Source organism: Homo sapiens, chromosome 13 (genome assembly GCF_000001405.40).
Source record: "Homo sapiens chromosome 13, GRCh38.p14 Primary Assembly".
NCBI classification, from domain to species: domain Eukaryota; kingdom Metazoa; phylum Chordata; class Mammalia; order Primates; family Hominidae; genus Homo; species Homo sapiens.
Window position 1 is genome coordinate 112,905,234 of NC_000013.11, and position 17,323 is coordinate 112,922,556.

At 48.9% G+C, this 17,323-nt stretch overlaps 1 protein-coding gene across 6 annotated transcripts in view, besides 2 other annotated features; it reads left to right on the plus strand.

Annotated features, from left to right (window-relative positions):
• MCF2L (MCF.2 cell line derived transforming sequence like) overlaps positions 1–17,323 on the plus strand; it is a 205,408-nt gene that overhangs the window by 10,899 nt on the left and 177,186 nt on the right. The window lies entirely within an intron of this gene.
• Positions 193–1,067: an enhancer, noted in NCBI's record as "NANOG-H3K27ac-H3K4me1 hESC enhancer chr13:113559740-113560614 (GRCh37/hg19 assembly coordinates)". NCBI's record gives its function as "activates a minimal SCP1, AML or CMV promoter by ChIP-STARR-seq in naive H9 embryonic stem cells {active_cell/tissue: H9 hESC(naive)}" and the evidence as "EXISTENCE:reporter gene assay evidence [ECO:0000049][PMID:30033119]".
• Positions 1,068–1,941: an enhancer, noted in NCBI's record as "NANOG-H3K27ac-H3K4me1 hESC enhancer chr13:113560615-113561488 (GRCh37/hg19 assembly coordinates)". NCBI's record gives its function as "activates a minimal SCP1, AML or CMV promoter by ChIP-STARR-seq in naive H9 embryonic stem cells {active_cell/tissue: H9 hESC(naive)}" and the evidence as "EXISTENCE:reporter gene assay evidence [ECO:0000049][PMID:30033119]".

The following is a 17,323-nucleotide window of genomic DNA, read 5'->3' on the forward strand; positions in this document are numbered from 1 at the left end:
TTTATCCCTAACGCAGCCAGTCCCTGCTACTGTGTCCAGTCCCCATTGGCTGGAGTCAGACTACACAATCTCAGCTGATCCTGATTGGCTACTTCAAATGGAACAGGGGTGGGGGCTACAGTGGTGGGAAGAGCAGTTTCAGAACTAAAGGCACCAAATAAGGAATAGATGTGGGTTGTTACAGATTGGGAATGGATGTGGGTTACAGATTGGGAACGGCACGAAGTTTGTTTACCGTAACTAGGGGCAAGGAGGCAAGGAAGTTAGGCTTTGAGCATAAAGGACAAAGACGAGGGATTTGAACAAGTGGAACTTTTGAAGAGGATCTCACTGTATCCAACACCCCTGCCCCCAGCTCGACACCCACCATCCTACTTTCTTTCTCTATGAAATGGACAACTCTAGGGAGCTCATGTAACTGGAGGTTATTACACTGGGCATAACATTCTGAGGTTCATCTGTGTTGTACCGTGTGACACAATTTCCTTCCTTTTTAAGGCTGAGTAATATTCCATAGTGTGGGTGGACCACATTTGTTTCTTCACACATTCATCCACGGACGTTTGGGTCACAGCCGCCTCTGCTATTGTGAATAACACTCCTATGAACACAGTGTGCAAATACCTGTGCAGGCCCCTGCTTTCAGGCCTTGGGGTTGCCTCCCCAGAAGTGGAATTGCCGCATCATGCAAGTATTTATTTTGAAACCATGATAGAAGGTGATTCCCCCTGGTTCTACCTTTATTTTCCTGCTGGGCGATGAACAGTGTCCCGTCCAACTTCCCTGTTCTCAGTCAACAGACACTGGTCTTTGAGAAGGTCACAGGAGGCCTGGGTCCTGCTGGGTAAACATTGATGAGCTTATTTTCCAGCTCGCTCGGTGCGGTCTGAAGCTGCTCTGTTTGCTCTTGGTTTCCTTCAGGCTTCTTCATTTCAGCTATCGTGACAGTGTTCCACCACATTGTTTCAGTGACTCTGCGATTAACTGTTTCACAGTCAGCTATGGAAGGGCCTCTAATCCGAGGGGACACACTGCAGACAGGCCTCCTCAGGGCTCCTGCCTGAGCCTGCAGCGTTTTGTAAGCTGACTCACTCCACTAAAGGTCAGCTCTCACAGCTGTGCTGCAGGATTTGCAGGTGAATGGGGAAGGCGTGGCCAGCATCAGCTCCCTGTGGCTTCTGGCGCTCACCCTCTGCAGGGCCTGTCTCACTGAGAATGGCAGGTGCCCACAGGAACATGCACACACGCATATGTACACACACGCACACACGGTGCAGTTCCATGGGGTGCGTGTGGAGCTTGTCTGGCTCTCCTCTCCCTGGCAGTGCTTTCCTATCAAAACACCAGTGCCCGCTCTGCCGTGAGTGCGTGGTCTTGCTTTTCAGTGGTGCGTAATGCGTTCTGGCTCTGGTGGGCCAGGTGAGAGCAGAGGCCTGGGAACATGTTGTTCAGCCTCTTTGGAAGGACCGCTATCATCTTAGAATTGAGCGTGAGAGAGCAAGAGGGTTCGCCCACAACTTCCTTGCGCAGCAGAGGTGAGGTGCCCCCGGCACAGGCGAGCACCTCTAGCTCTAGGGTGGCTTGTGGGGCCTCCTGTTAGAAACTCCATCTATCCCCATTGGTCAGTGGTGTCTTTAAAGATGCCAGTGATTTTCGTCCCAGCAAACCTTTGAGCATCACACTGTTCAGGTGCTGGGCAAAGCTTTGAGGATAAAAGAACAAGTGGAAGACAATCCCTGACTTGGGCTTAGGGTGAAGAAGAGCAGCGAAGAAACAGACACATTTGCCGCCTTGGGTGGAGTCGCGACATTGCTGTTTCTATGTCAGAAGCCTTGGAGCATGGATGATTCCATGGCTGGACCTAATACTTCCATGCTTTATGGTAGGAGATTACACAGGATTCTGAGGGGGGACCTTGTCTCCACCTGGGGGCACGCGGGAGGGTTGGGAAGCACTTCGGGAAGGACCAAGACTTGCCCCAGCCTTGAGAAGTGATGGGGCTGCAGCATTCAGATATGAGTCTCACAGAGGGGTTTGCAGAAACAATTAGCTGGAGCTGAAAATGTACTTTGGGGAAGGGGAAAATGACCACAAGAAACAGATACTTGGAAGGAAATTGGCTTTTTGGCTATCCACAGTGTTTCTGGCATGGGTCATAGTCGTGGCTTGGTGGAGAATCCTCGGTGTTTGTGGCATGGATCGTAGTCATGGCTTGGTGGAGAATCCTCGGTGTTTCCAGCATGGGTCAGTCGCGGCTTGGTGGAGAATGGCTGAATCCTGGCAACTGTGGCCTTTGCAGGGGCTGTAGTTGTGCATTCGTGAATCTGACGGGGGAAGATGTGTTTCTTCACATCTTCAGGCTCCTTCTGTGGTTGGGTGCTAGCTGTTGTATGCTGATGGACTGGTTTCTCTTGGCCCACAGAAAATGTTCTTTAATAATTTGGTAGACTCTGGACTTGAAACTTCCTGGTTCTTCATGCAGTTCTCAAAGCTCATGATTTTCTTGGGAGATTCATTGCTTTCTCCTTGCATGCCATTTAGTGTTGCAGAAAACAGCTCTGAGAAAAGGCGATCTCAGCAGCACGCCGTGTTAAAGAACAGCGCATGTTGGGAGAATGAGCACCCACTGCTCCCTCCACTCATCTTTTCTTTATAGTTCTGAGTCTCGAGTGAGACGGCCTCTGAAGATGAACATGTTGTTTGTGGAAATGGTACTTGCAGTGTGGCTGTCAATGATTAACTTCTTGTTTTCAACCTTTCCTGATTCCTCAGCATCTTTCTACTTGGACTTTGTGTATTACTCAGGAAGCTGGCAGGAATTCCTAATTTTTTTAAGACATGTGTTCAGTGCATATGAACCTCCAGACATTTGGGAACGAGTTGTGTTACTGGTTAATGTTGGAAGCATGGCTGGTATCTGCTCGTGTCCAATGCCAAGGGTGTGGGCAGCTTCCCAAGGCCAGGTGAGATGCTGGCATGGGGGCACAGGTGCTCTGACTCACCAGGGCTCCTGTGTTAGGGGGATGGGGTGGACCACCGCCCCAGCTTGCACAGGGGACCTCTGGTCTCCCAAGCGCCCTCTGATTCAAGGGTGCCTAAATGGACTGTTCTGAATGGAATTGGCTGCAGTATTTTTCATCTTTTAATTAAAATGGATGTGGCGGATTACCTGAAACCAGGAGTAACTGTTCTGAGCTGCTGGAGAGACTCCTCAGGTGAACGGAAGGTGTCTGAAGACAGCAGGCAGCTTCTCTCCCAAGAGCCCCTTCTCAGAGCCAGAGCCGATTTTGCATGCCCCAGAGCACACATGATTCTGTGGGTGTTTTATCAGGAAGTTAGGGGTTTCTGCCTGAGTGCTCTACAATATGTGCTCTATGATTAAAGTCGGATTTCTCCTCTGAAGAAACTGTGTTTGACATGACAGAATCAAAGGCAAGCATCACTAGTCACCAGCGTGTCAGACACAAACACCAGGCTCATGTTTTTTGTTTTGTTTTGGTTTTTTTTTGTTTTTTTTTGAGACAGAGTCTCACTCTATTGTCCAGGGTGGAGTGCACTGGCATGATCTTGCATCCTCTGCCTCCTGGGTTCACGCCATTCTCCTGCCTCAGCCTCCCAAGTAGCTGGGACTACAGATGCACGCCACCGCAACTGGCTAATTTTTGTATTTTTAGTAGAGACGGGGTTTCACCATGTTAGCCAGGATTGTCTCGATCTCCTGACCTCGTGATCCGCCTGCCTCAGCCTCCCAAAGCACTGGTATTACAGGTGTTAGCCACCGCGCCCCGCCCATGCTTATGTTTATCCATGCTGCTCTCGGCTTTGCCGAGGGGATGATCTGGGTAGGGGGATTCACTTGGTTTGAACTGTTCCCACTGCAAAGAAATTCTCTCCCTCCTGCTTGCCTCATCCGCTTCTGGGTTAAGTCCAGGACTGGCAAAAACACTGCCTGTTCCCGAGGGAGCCCCTGTAACCAACCTCTCCCCAGATGTCTAATCCCTTGCTTGTGATTCCAGCAGAGGTCTCGGCATCTCGTCCACAGTGAGCTGGTGTCCTGCCAGTCTCGGGAGGCACTCGGCAGTGTGAGTACATCCTTCACCTCTGTGTCTACAGACCCGGCCTCCCCGCCCAGCATGGGTTGAAGCCAGGCTAAGGCGTTGATCCCAAGGGGCTGTCTGCAGGGGTTTGGGGCAGGCCTGAGCATTCACCCCAGCGTCCTGTGCAAACGTCTTCGTCAGGAGCGCACTTGGGAAGTCCTACACTAGCGCAGAGGGTGCGCAGCCAGCGGGTCTATCAACTTGGATGCAGGTAGTGCTCAGTGGCATTTGGAGGAGAGTCTAATAACCAAGAGGATGAATCTCTTTGAAGGATCTGATGGAAACAAGAAATGAAGAGGGTTGTTTTGTTTTGTTTGTTTTATGAGACAGAGTCCTGCTCTGTTGCCCAAGCTGGATGGAGTGCAGTGGTGCAATCTCAGCTCCTTGCGGCCGCCGCCTCCTGGGTTCCAGCTATTCTCCTGCCTCAGCCTCCCAAGTAGCTGGGATTACAGGCATGCACTTTGACACCCCGGCTAATTTTTGTATTTTTAGTAGAGATGGGGTTTCACCATGTTGTCCAGGCTGGTCTCAAGCTCTTGACCTCAAGTGATCCGCCCGCCTTGGCCTCCCAAAGTGCTGGGATTACAGGCATGAGCCACTGTGCCTGGCCACGAAATGAAGAGATTTTACTACCTGAACCTTAAAACTGTTCCTGAGAAATCACCAAGAAGACTGACCAGCAAATGAAAACCTGGAAAAAAATTGCAACAAAGGATAGATATTTATCTATGCATCTGTCTTACATAGCAGAGTGAAAAGGAGGCACACGTTCATAGAAAGTGAATATAAAGCTTGCACAGAAATAGGCTGACCTGTTCAGTTTAAAGAAATGTAATGCTGACCACAAGGTCTCTTTCTCTTTCCATTTTTATGGCCAAAAATTCCAAGCCTGCTGGTAGGAATGCCAGTCCTTATCGATATACTGGAAAACAACTGATGTCAGTAAAAGTCTTCAAATATTTTTAGTTTTCGTCAGCAATGTTCACTTCTAAGAATTTAAAAGAAGAAAATGATAAAAATATTGTCACAAACATTCATGAACAAAGGTGATCATCACAGCCGTTATTTATAATTATGAACACTTGCAGGAAAGCAAAATTACAGCAGTAAGGGTTTGGAAATGATTTAGTTGTTGAGATCATAATTCTCCCTGGCACATCTTACACTATAATAAGTGAAATTGCCAGTTATAAAAACGATACACAGTCTTCAATTTTGTAAACACCAAATATGTGCAGTTTTGTAAAAGACTTAAGATATGCACCTAAATATAAATGTTTTTAATCATACATGTGCCATTTGTTGTTCTTTTTGTTTTTCTGCATGAGGAAACCTTCTTATCTATGTCAGAATAAATGCTTCTTAGAAAAGGAAATTAGACTGAAAACAGGCACGAGGGGGGCTCGGGCTTCCTGCCCCCCGGTCCCCTGGTTTGCCGCTGACGCTAGTGGAGAGCTCTTCTCGCCTTCACCTTCCTGGTGGCTGTCTCGCCGGGACTGTGCCGCTGGTGACCTGGGGGGTGTTAATTACCTAACACTTTTCAAGGGGAAAATATTTCGTGGGAGAATTCGTCTGAAATTCTGCTGGAGGCACCTTGGAGAAACAGCTGCGTGTAAATGAAGCCGCAGCCAAAACGCAGGCCAGGGGGCCCAGCACTTTCCCAGAATTTGGGGGGTGGGGGCGGGGCGGGGGTGGGGCTGACTCTCTCGCCCCTGCCCTGGGACCTGGCCGCTCCCCGGCGTCAGCTGGTGCATGCATGGTGATGGAGCTGGTGTTGAACCCCCGCGGGTCTTCGGGAGCTCGTCCTGGCGGTGGGTGGCGAATGCCAAGGCCCCCTCAGGAGCCTAAGCCCAGCTTTATTTTCCATACCATGTCAGTGACTCCAGAAGACCCAGAGGCTGGGTCTGGTCAGAGGTGATGGCCAGAGGGAGCCCGTTTGCAATGTCCCACGGCCAGGATGGGTCTGGCTGGCGGAGCCCTGTGTCTACACACGTAGCCTTGGGTCCCGGGGTCTGTCTGCAGCTCCGCCCGGCACCGTCCATGCAGGGTGTAGACCCAGACACTCTCCTGCCTGGGAGAGCGGCCCAGCCGCTAGTCCTGTGCGCCCACCAGGTTCTTCTCTCCCAGCGTGGCCGCCATGTTGGCCGTGATCCCCGGATCCTGCCTGCTGCAGGCTCCTCTGGGAATGGCCCGCCCACCATGCTCCTCTGAAACCCTCCCTCACTTCCAGAGACCTGGGCCCCGGGCCTCACCCAAGCCCCTGCTGTGGTCACCCGGGCTGCAGGCGTCCTCTCAGGTGTCTCAGCCGTGGGCCCGGCACCCCCTTCTGTGTTCACCTCCTTCCCCGAGGCCGAGGGCGCGGCGGGCCTGCGCCAGCCTTTCCTCACAGAATACCCGGGACCTCACACGGATGCGCTGAGCAGCGATTTCTTCCGTCTTCCTCTCTTCCGACTTCTTTCCTTCTAGAAACAAATGTGATCTTTGGTTACTGGGTTTTCCCTAAACATTACTGAGCTGTGTCATCAGAACTTAGACTTCAGGTACCTCAAGGAAAAGAGGTTCTGTTTAGCAGCAGAGAAGAAAAAGGCTACACGCAGGCTAGGTGGCCAATCCGCCAAGAATAGGAATGAGATGAACTTTGAATTCTTTTTAAAAAGAAAAAACAATGTCTTCATTGAGTAAGTTCTACCCCACCCTCACCAAGAGTCACGTGGCTGGGGAGGTGGCCGTGCATGTGGCCCAAGTCCCTTGTTCTGTGAAGTTTCCCATCCCCGGGCCCAGCAGTCACATCCTCAGAGTGTCAGTTAACATGTGTCTCTGTCCCCTGTGTTTAGTTTATTCAGAACCTGAACCAGCTCCAGGAGGACACCTTTCTCTTCAGGCAATTTCAGAGTGGTGCTCTCCATCTCAGGAGTGGGTAATGTCTGGGTGTGAGTGTCCGGGGACATTGGCAGCCACAGGTCATTGTTGCTTAAATCTATTAATTTATTCCTTTTTTTTTTTTAGATAGAGCCTCGCTCTGTCACCCAGGCTGGAGTGCAGTGGTGCAATCTGGGCTCACTTGCAACCACTGCCTCCTGGGTTCAAGCAATTCTCCTGCCTCAGCCTCTCAAGTAGCTGGGATTACAAGCGCACGCCACCACACCCAGCTAATTTTTGTATTTTTAGTAGAGACGGGGTTTCACCATGTTGGCCAGGCTGGTCTCGAACTCCTGACCTCAGGTGATTCACCCGCCTTGGCCTCCCAAAGTGCTGAGATTACAGGTGTGAGTCCACCATGCCTGGCCAATTTATTCTTAAGAGCTGCAAATGTCCTCATTGTGTCATTTCTTTTTTATTTATTTGCTGGAAGTCACCTAATAAATATCCCCATATATATTTTATATCCTTCTTTTCTTATATAAATGGCTTGTGTCTTTGTGTGGCTGTGTGTGTGTCACATGTCTGTGTGTGTGTCTGTGGTGTATCTCTGTGTGTGTATGTATGTATGGGGTGTGCCTGTGTGTGTGTCTGTAGTGTATCTGTGTCTGTATGGGGTGTGTCTGTGTGTGATTGTGTGTGTGTCTGTGGTGTATCTCTGTGTATGTATGGGGTGTGTCTGTATGATTGTGTGTGTCTGTGGTGTATCTGTGTCTGTATGTATGGGGTGTGTCTGTGTGATTGTGTGTCTGTGGTGTATCTCTGTGTCTGGGTGTGTCTGTGATTGTGTGTCTGTGGTGTATCTGTGTATATGGGGTGTGTCTGTGTGATTGTGTGTGTGTGGTCTATTTCTGTGTCTGTATGTATGGGATGTGTCTGATTGTGTGTCTGTGGTGTATTTCTGTGTCTGTATGTATGGGGTGTGTCTGTGTGATTGTGTGTGTGTCTGGTGTATCTCTGTATGTATGGGGTGTGTCTGTGTGTGATTGTGTGTGTGTCTGGTGTATCTCTGTGTCTGTATGTATGGGGTGTGTCTGTGTGTGATTGTGTGTCTGTGTTTATGTGTGTGTGTCTTTGTGTGATTTTTTGTGTATATGGCAAACCCAGAACAGAACATTATCACTCACCTCACCTGGCAAAACAAAAAGCTTTCAGAGAGATGTGTGGCCGTCATGATGTCTCAGCTGCAGGCATTTTTCAAAGTTATGTTTGATGCAGCTGGCACCTTTCTTCTCGGGGACAAATGTGATCTTTGATCATTGAGTTGAGAATGAGTTTACTCAATAATTTTAAAATGCCTCGGTGTGAGAGGATGGGCTGCTAGTAAACATTTGTGGCAAATATGCGTTGTCTTTTCCTCCTTCAAGTGCATGGGGCAGGCTGCTTCTCTGCACGTCCATCTGTGGGTCAGTCTGTCCTGCCACCTCCCTTGCCCCAGGGCTTAGTGCCCTGTGTGGATCACGGCTGCCCCAGGGATGCTGGGGAAGGATTCAGCCCAACAAATAGATTCGTTGACGTCCTCTCAACGAATGTGTGCTTTTAAAAATGTCTTTAATTTTGCACTCCATTTCATACAACAGGTGCACATTTAAAACATTTATTTTTAAACAGCTCTGTCTTCTCAGCACTGCAGACTCTTTCTCGCTCACTTGACAGGCAGACGTTGGGACTATGTTCTTTTCCTGCCAAGAATCCATCAGCCCCCCAATGCCTGCACCTCGAGTCCAGACTCCTTAGCGTTGCGTTGGGACGTAATTCCCCGTTAGCATCCCCAGCCCCTTCTCCCCCTGTGAGCCAGCCTGGGTTCTTTTCTTTTTCCTTTCTTCCCTGTTTTCCTTCTTTCTTTTTTGGGTTTGTAATAAGTAATATACAGTCTTGTGGTTAAGAAATCAAAATAATAAAGAAGATACGGCTTGAGGATTCTTGCTCTGCACTGGTCCTTCCGCCAGGACCTGGTGCGTCCCCCAAGAGGGCCTTGCCATGTGCGAGCTGAGACACATGTTCACACTTTCCTCCTTTTTTGTACAAAAGGTAGCACATGGTAAATAGCGTCTGCACGCTTCTCCCCTCGCTCTGTCTTCGGGACTACTCCACATCCATGAAGAAGCAGCATCCTTATTCTCTTGCACAGTGGGCAGTGGCTACACTGTATTCACTCGTCTCTGCTGATGGGCACTACTGTAGTGGTGCAATTAGTAACCTAGTATACATGCCCTTCAGCGTGTGTACTGGTGTATGGATCTCACATTCCCAGAGGCTGAGTGAAAGAATAAAGGCTTTTTGACAGTATTCCTCAGGTACTCACACACTCGCTCTGTGAGCCACGTGATCATGGGAGCGGCTCCCTGCAGAGGTGTCTGATGGGAGAGGCTGATGTCCTTGTCTGATGGTTGCTCCAACCTGAGAATGGTGAGCTGCTCTCCCAATGCAGACTTTCATCACTTGCATCTCATGCGTGAGATTGAACTGCTTCTCATTTATGTTTTTATCTTTGTTTGCCCATATTTTAGCTGGGTTGCTAATCTTTTAATGTTTTCTAGGCGCTTTTCATAAATTAGGGAGTTTAGCTGTAGTGATGTGAGTTGAAAGTATTTTTTCAAATCGTCATTGTCTTGACTTTCCTTTTTTTTTTTCTTTTGCCACTTAAAATATGTAGTTGAATCTCAGTATTTGGGGGCTTCTGGATTTTGAGTCGTAGTTGAAAAGGTCTTCCTATTCTGAGGTTATACAGGAATTCACCCATTTTTTTCCTAATATTTTATTTCCATTTAAACTTTTGACCCACTTGGATTGATTTTGTTGTATGGTGTCAAGTATGGGTCCAAGTTTGCTTTTCTGACCTGGGGATCCTAACATCGTTCATCAAAATCTCCATGTTGGCCGGGCGTGGTGGCTCAAGCCTGTAATCCCAGCACTTTGGGAGGCTGAGGTCGGTGGATCACAAGGTCAGGAGATCGAGACCACCCTGGCTAACACGGTGAAATCCTATCTCTACTAAAAATACAACAAATTAGCCGGGTGTGGTGGCAGGCACCTGTAGTCCCAGCTACTCAGGAGGCTGAGGCAGGAGAATCGCTTGAACCCGGGAAGCGGAGGTTGCAGTGAGCTGAGATTGCGCCACTGCACTCCAGCTTGGGTGACAGAGCAAGACTCTGTCTCACAAAAAAAAAAAAAAATCCATCCTCACTACACGCATCAGCAGTTGCCACCATTAAAATAGATTGAATTTTCATACATATTTGAGTCTGTTTCTGGACTCCCTGTTCTGTCTCATTTCTGCTTGCCTTCCATTTTCCCACACCCACTACTTTAATTACTAGGGCTGGTGGTCTCGTTTCACTGCTGTCCTTGGTAAGAGCTTCCTGGACACTCTTGCTAGTGTACCTTTTCCTAGGAACCAAAGTTCCTGTTATCTAATTACATGATTGCATGAACAAATCTGCAGATAATCATGGTTTTCTTTCTTGTCAATTTTTGTGCTTCCCATCTCGTCCCGAGTGGATTGCCCAGCATCTCCTGGACGTGATTAAGTAGTAGTAGTGATGTTCAGGTTTGGTGATGCTGCCTTCTGTAATATCCCTATTCAATATTATACTGGCCTTCAGGCTGAGATGGGTACTTTGTTGTTGTTGTTGTTGTTGTTTTAATTTTTTAAAAATTAAAAACAGGCCGGGCGCAGTGGCTCACGCCTGTAATCCCAGCACTTTGGGAGGCCGAGGCATGTGGATCACAAGGTCAGGAGATCGAGACCATCCTGGTTAACACGGTGAAACCCCGTCTCTACTAAAAATACAAAAAAAAAAAAAAAATTAGCCGGGCATGATGGCGGTTGTCTGTAGTCTCAGCTACTCAGGAGGCTGAGGCAGGAGAATGGCGTGAACCTGGGAGGCGGAGGTTGCAGTGAGCTGAGATTGCGCCACTATACTCTAGCCTGGGGACAGGGCCTCTGATTCCGAGGCGACTTTTCCCCTTTCATTTCCTATTTTAAGTATTTGTCCCTTCTCTCTTTTTCCTTGATTAGGTTAGCGGATAGTTTATCTATTTATTGCTTTTGTTCCCAGAAGCCATTTTCAAAATGTAGTTCTACTGATTTTCCAATTTCTGATTCACTGATTTGTGCTTTTGCCTCTACTTCTTGTCCTTTTCTTTAGAAAATCTTCTGAGCTCCTGCTTGACTCACTGGTGTTTCATCAGTCTTTGGGGAGGTGGTGGGATGAGTCTCCGCACGTCCGCGCTCTCGCGTGCCTCACCTGTGAGGTCCTCTCCCTTCTCACCCAGCGTCACGCCCTGACCCCTCGGCTCCCGTGTCCTCTGACTTCCTTGCACCAGCACCCTGTTGAGCTCCACCCCTGCACTGGGGTCTGTATAGGTGGCTGTCATGTGTGCCGAGCATAGCTCAGTATAGCTGCATGAAGCGTTCCACCGGGCAGACGGTGTTGATCCTCCAGTCTCTGAGCCACAGTGGTCCTCCGAGTGGTCCTTAGAGTGGTCCTCAGGGCCACTCCCCGAACAACCAGCTCACGCCTTGCTTCTCCCCTCGCCCCCAAGGCCTCTTCCCCATCCTCACTTCTAATGGGTGGACTGGATTCCTGCTTGACAGAGCTGAACCAGTTGGAAGAGCATCCCTGCCTGTCCCCTGCCTGTCCCTGAACCTCTGCTCTGCACCACATCCCTGCCTTCCTGCCGGACCTCTGAGGGTCCTGCACGCTCTCCCCACACTGGTCTGTGTCCCCATCCCTCTTCCCACTCCAGGGCAGTCATCCTCCCTCATCGCCAAGTCTGAGTTCTCCCCGGATTCCTGTCAACTCAAAGGTGCTGTCGTTTCTCCTGTCTAAACCTGCCTGATCTCTCCATCTGTACTCAGCCCCTCGGCGATCTCAGTCCCCTGGCTTGTGACCCACCTGAGTGTGATGATTCCTAGTCCACAGCTCCAGTCCGGACCCCTCCCCCGGGCACTGCACCGCCCTGCCTCCGCAGAGCCTCCACCCGCATCCTACAGGTCTCCCAGAGCCGCGTCATCCACTGCAGCTCCATCCACCATAGTTCACTGCACCTCTCCGTCCAGTTCCTTTGGCCAGAAACCCCATCGTCCTCATCTGTGTTTTCACTCATGCCCGTATCCGACCTCCCGGGAAATCCTGTTGGCTGTGCCTCCAGAACAGATCCAGAATCCAGCCAGGCTACCGCCCTGTCTCCCACTTTGAGGTCGCGCTGCCTCTGCGCCTGTCCCTCCCCACCGCCGTCTCGCAGAACAGCAAGCGGTGACCTCTCGAAGGTGAGTGCGGGCCCTTCTCTGCTGAAATCCTCAGTTCAGCAGGGTAAACACAGCCCCCTCCGGTGGCCCACCTGGCCCTTCGTGCCTTCCTTCCTCCCTCTGGGTGGGACCCTCTCCTGAGAGACCTCCACAGTCGGCCGCAGTTCCCCCTGATGTTCTTTCAGGCCCTCCTTGGTGTCTTCCTGTTCAGCTCTGACCTGGAGGTACTTCCACTGGATGGGTAGTTTGTGTGTTTGTAGGTTTCATTTCATGTGATTTTCCCTTCTCTTGTTTGCTGCGGGGGTTCTCCTTACTAAGGTTGAAGACTTACAAGAAAGCTGGCTTCTAGACCCTCTGGACTCTGACCTAGCCTCACCTGCCCACCCCCCTGCTCCAGGCCGGCTTGCGTCCCCAGGTGAACTCAGTCCTTTCAGGACACCTTCAGGGCTGAGCCCACAGTCCAGTACCATTTCCTGGTCTGTTTGAAGTCCCCTGGGACTTTGTATCTTTCCAGATAACTTGCCACTTTTTCTAACCAGTGGCATAATTATTTGAGGATTTGTCTTCACCTAGTTGGGTGTTAACCTCTTGAAGGCAGGACCTGTCTCTGAGTCATTGTGCTGCCTTCATAATTCCTAGCAATCGCAAATTAAGGGAACGCACTGTGTCCGGGAAGGCATCTGCGCGGGAGGAACTGAAGCTCCTGAGCGCATGTTAGGGATGAGGAGGGTCCCTGGAAACAGTGCTGACAGCCCCATTGAGGGGAGAACTGTTACTACCCTAACACTGGGGATGGGGATCACAGGAACGTCACGAGAACGTCATTTTGGGAAGCCAGCTTGGTGGAAGCTCCGTGTTGGGGAACTCCAGTAGACTGGGAGAGAGAGCAGGAGTAACTGACGCAGTTCACTTCCCCGTGGGGTTTCCCACACCTCGGCAAGTTGAGGGTGTGCAGGCCCTTGTCCTTGTTGGGTTGCATATGGAGAGAATGTCCATGGGGAGAGAGTAGGGAGGGGACCACACCCTGGAAAGGCCAGTTTGAAAAACCTAGGCCTGGGGGGATGCAGCCTGGGGGATGCAGGGGCGTGGGGTGGCTCCAAAGTCAGCTGCCTTGGAAGATTCCAGTGATGAACAGGGGCAGAGCTGGTGTCTGTCACTCAGCTGGCTGGCATTTCCTGCTTTTGTCTCCTGGGAGGTGCTGTGGATATAAACATTATATGCAGAGCAGCAGTGCTTTCTGGTTAGGGATGCAGCATTTTAATTCACTGAGCAAAAGTGGACTGGAGAGTCGTTTTGGTAAGAGACCTGACTGAAGCATCGGCCCAGACTTTCACGAGCGGGGTCCCATTTTCCCAGTGCAGGAGCTGAGGCCCATCTGGATTACACGGATTCTTGAAGTGCCCCATCCTCCGTGTCCCCACCTGTGGGCTCTGCCCCTGCGCTTCCCCGACGCGCGCCCCCTTCCACTGCACTTGCTGGCAGAGGCGCTGTTGAAAGGCTCTCAGACCTCTATGCTGACACCTGTGGTCTGTGGGCCCCGTGCCTCTCTTACTATTCCTTCATTCTCTTTCCTTGTGCCTAGCAACAATTTCATTAATTCAAATTCATTTACAAGATATAAAACCACACAATATAACTTTTAGTTTTTAGGCATTTTTTCAATTATATATTCTAACAAAAGACTATCAGGTAAGAATTTGCATTTTTTTTTTTTTTTTTTGAGACGGAGTCTTGCTCTGTCGCCCAGGCTGGAGTGCAGTGGCGGGATCTCGGCTCACTGCAAGCTCCGCCTCCCGGGTTCACGCCATTCTCCTGCCTCAGCCTCCCAAGTAGCTGGGACTACAGGCGCCCGCCACTACGCCCGGCTAATTTTTTGTATTTTTAGTAGAGACGGGGTTTCACCGTTTTAGCCGGGATGCTCTCGATCTCCTGACCTCGTGATCCGCCCGCCTCGGCCTCCCAAAGTGCTGGGATTACAGGCGTGAGCCACCGCGCCCGGCCAGAATTTGCAATTTTTATAATATTTAAATGAAATTTTTCTTTCAAAACTGTTAGGAATCACTGTTTTGTTTTAAAAAAAAATGCCTAGAAACGCCTTGAGAAAATAGAAAGCACATAAAGCCTGCAAATTCTGAGAGTAATTGTTATTAAGTGGGTGTTTTTCCCAAGAGTTTGTATTTGTAGTCTTTTCTTAGCTAGTTTAACATTTGTTCTTCATACCTACTAGACAGATTTTTTTAGTTACACTCTTGATAACAGTATTCATTCATTTTATCAGTACCATCTGTAACTCCAAAATGCAATTTTTAAAATTAAACTAAGTAGACCATGAAATGTATTTGAGATGCAATATCAAATTTTTCATGCTTTGAAGGACCCCAAAACCAGTGTAATTTCTCTTCCCTCAAATATCAAGGCATGGCTGAATTATGGATGTTTCAGATGTCTCTTTCCTTCTTTTCTTATGGTAGCGAGGCACCCCTCCTCCATGAAATCAGTGTTTTCCTGCATTTGGAGTGACTGTTAGGTTTCCTTTATCTCAAGCTGTGCTGTCCCTCCCACAGTTTGGAGTTTTTCTGGGTCTCAAGTTAGAATCAGGAAGGTTACCATGCTACCTGGACAGTTAGGTGTCTAAGGGAGAGAATCTGGCAGACAAGCCCGTGTTACCTGGCTGAACTGCAGAGTGAAGAGCTCACGTATGGGTACATGGCGGAGAGGTGGGAGGAGGCGTGTGTCTGTAGAGTACAGTTCTGTTGTTCTCTAACAGAAAACATAGAGTTTTTGTTGTTTGTAGTTGGTGCAAAATGCAGAAGAAAACTCTGCATTCAAAATCAGCTATGAAGAGTGATGTCTGTGTGTTGCTGCTGGCTTGTGTGTGTGTGTGCACACGCGTGTTTGTGATCAGTTATCTGATATTCATGGGGCACATTGTACCTGTTGAGCTGAGCTGAGTTCCTGAGATTTGGTTAAATGCAGAAAGACTAGAATTTACCATCTGTTGAAACTAGATGCCTGTGGATGGCCGGTGACCCCAGAACGCAGGACAGGATGGCAAGTAGCCTGCACATTGTATGGCCTGCTGCCCTGCGGTTACCGGGCTGCTCTGAAGCTGGAGGGGAGCAGTTAGTCAACAGTAATCCAGTCAGGTTGTGGGTGGGTGCCAGGGGGAGGGCTTGCAGGGAGAGTTGGGTTGTGGGTGGGTGCTGGTGGTGGGTGGGCGGGGGGCTTGCAGGGAGGACCCGACCGAGCTCTTCCAGGTGGACAGGATTCAGAAGGTGGAGAGGAGGAAGAGCCCCACAGGCTGAGGGCACAGATTGGCTCACAAAGAGCAGTGCAGCCACTCACTCTGCACAAGAGACACTCCTGAAAGAAACACAGCCATGGCCAGGCGCGGTGGCTCAAGCCTATAGTCCCAGCACTTTAGGAGGCCGAGGCAGGCGGATCACGAGGTCAGGAGATTGAGACCATCCTGGCTAACATGGTGAAACCTCATCTCTACTAAAAAAAAAAAAAAATCCAAAAAATTAGCCGGGTGTGGTGGCGGGCGCCTGTAGTCCCAGCTACTCGGGAGGCTGAGTCAGGAGAATGGCGTGAATCCGGGAGGCAGAGCTTGCAGTGAGCCGAGATTGCACCACTGCACTCTAGCCTGAGCGACAGAGCAAGACTCCGTCTCAAAAACAAAAAACAAAACAAAACAGAACAAAAAACAGAAAACAAAACAAAAAAACTGCCAGAAGAAGTTAAAATAGAAGGACGAATAGGGCAGGCTGGTCAAACCAAGTAAGAAAACAGAGGTTGCAAGTTTGATGCCTAACAACGCAGAATTCAGAGCAAAAGCCTTGAAGGATAAAGACGCCTCCATTGATAAAGTCTGAGATTTGCAGGGAGGCTCCACACACTGTTTACCTGTCAGCATCCAGGAGTGCAGCAATAACTTTAGTAAATCAGAGTCTATAGGATTTGTGTGGAAAACAATCAGGAACCAAACGACCTCCCACCTCCTAGTCTAAGATAGATCAAAGAAAATTCTGTCAAGACACAGAAACCCTGAGGGAAGTCCCATAGAGTCGGTCAACCTGCGAACACTGCTGCAAAATAAACCTTCCTGTTAGATACACGAGACACAATTTCTAGAAAACTGATTGTATTTTGGACGACAGAGACACCCTCAAATTCCCAGGGATATGAATAATACAGGAACACTGTCCTAGACGTTAAGAATAAAATCAGAAGGCTGGAAAAGAAACAAAACAAAAATGCCGCTAAGCAGCCTTTGAGTTGGAGGCCATGCCAGCTAAAGTGGAGAGTTCCTAAAAGTACAACACACAACTTAGCAAATCTATGAAATATGGCAGGAGAGAGTGTCAGGAGGATTATATCAATACTTATATCAGTAAAAATGTAAAAAGGATGCAAATACCTACATAAAAATGGTAGAAAAAGAACAATAAAACAAGCCACAAAAAGTAGATAAAAGCAGAAAATAAGGATAGAAATAATAAAAATAATAAATCTAAAAGCTGTTTTGAAAGAGACACATGAGGCCCCAGCTCACAGTGAATGGAGGAAAAGTCCAGAGGCCCAGAGCTGGAAACGTGTGGGCCGGGAGCAGCCCCTGCCAGAGGGCACTTTATATAGTAGTCGACTTTGTACAACCAAAACTCAATAAATTTGAAAGCGTAGAAGAAACAGATAGTTTTTCAGAAAATTACAGCTTTCCAAATTTGATACTGATAGAGCCAAAGTCTAGAATAAATGGGGAAAGGAAAGAGCTCTTCCCCGAAAGAGCAAGCCAGATTATTCCACACAGAACGTCTTCCAGATCTCTAAAGATCATACAATTTCAGTGCAACTTAAACTGCTTTGTGAGGTTTTCTTTTTCTGTCCTTTAATGTCACTTTATGTAGTGATTTCAACATTGATCCCCAAACCTGGCAACATAGTACTTTGGCAGAAATAAACTATGGACTGATCTCAATCTCATTTCTCAGCATTGAAGTAAAAATCTGAAAGCATTCACAACACATAAAAAAAAAAAAAACCCATCAGCCAG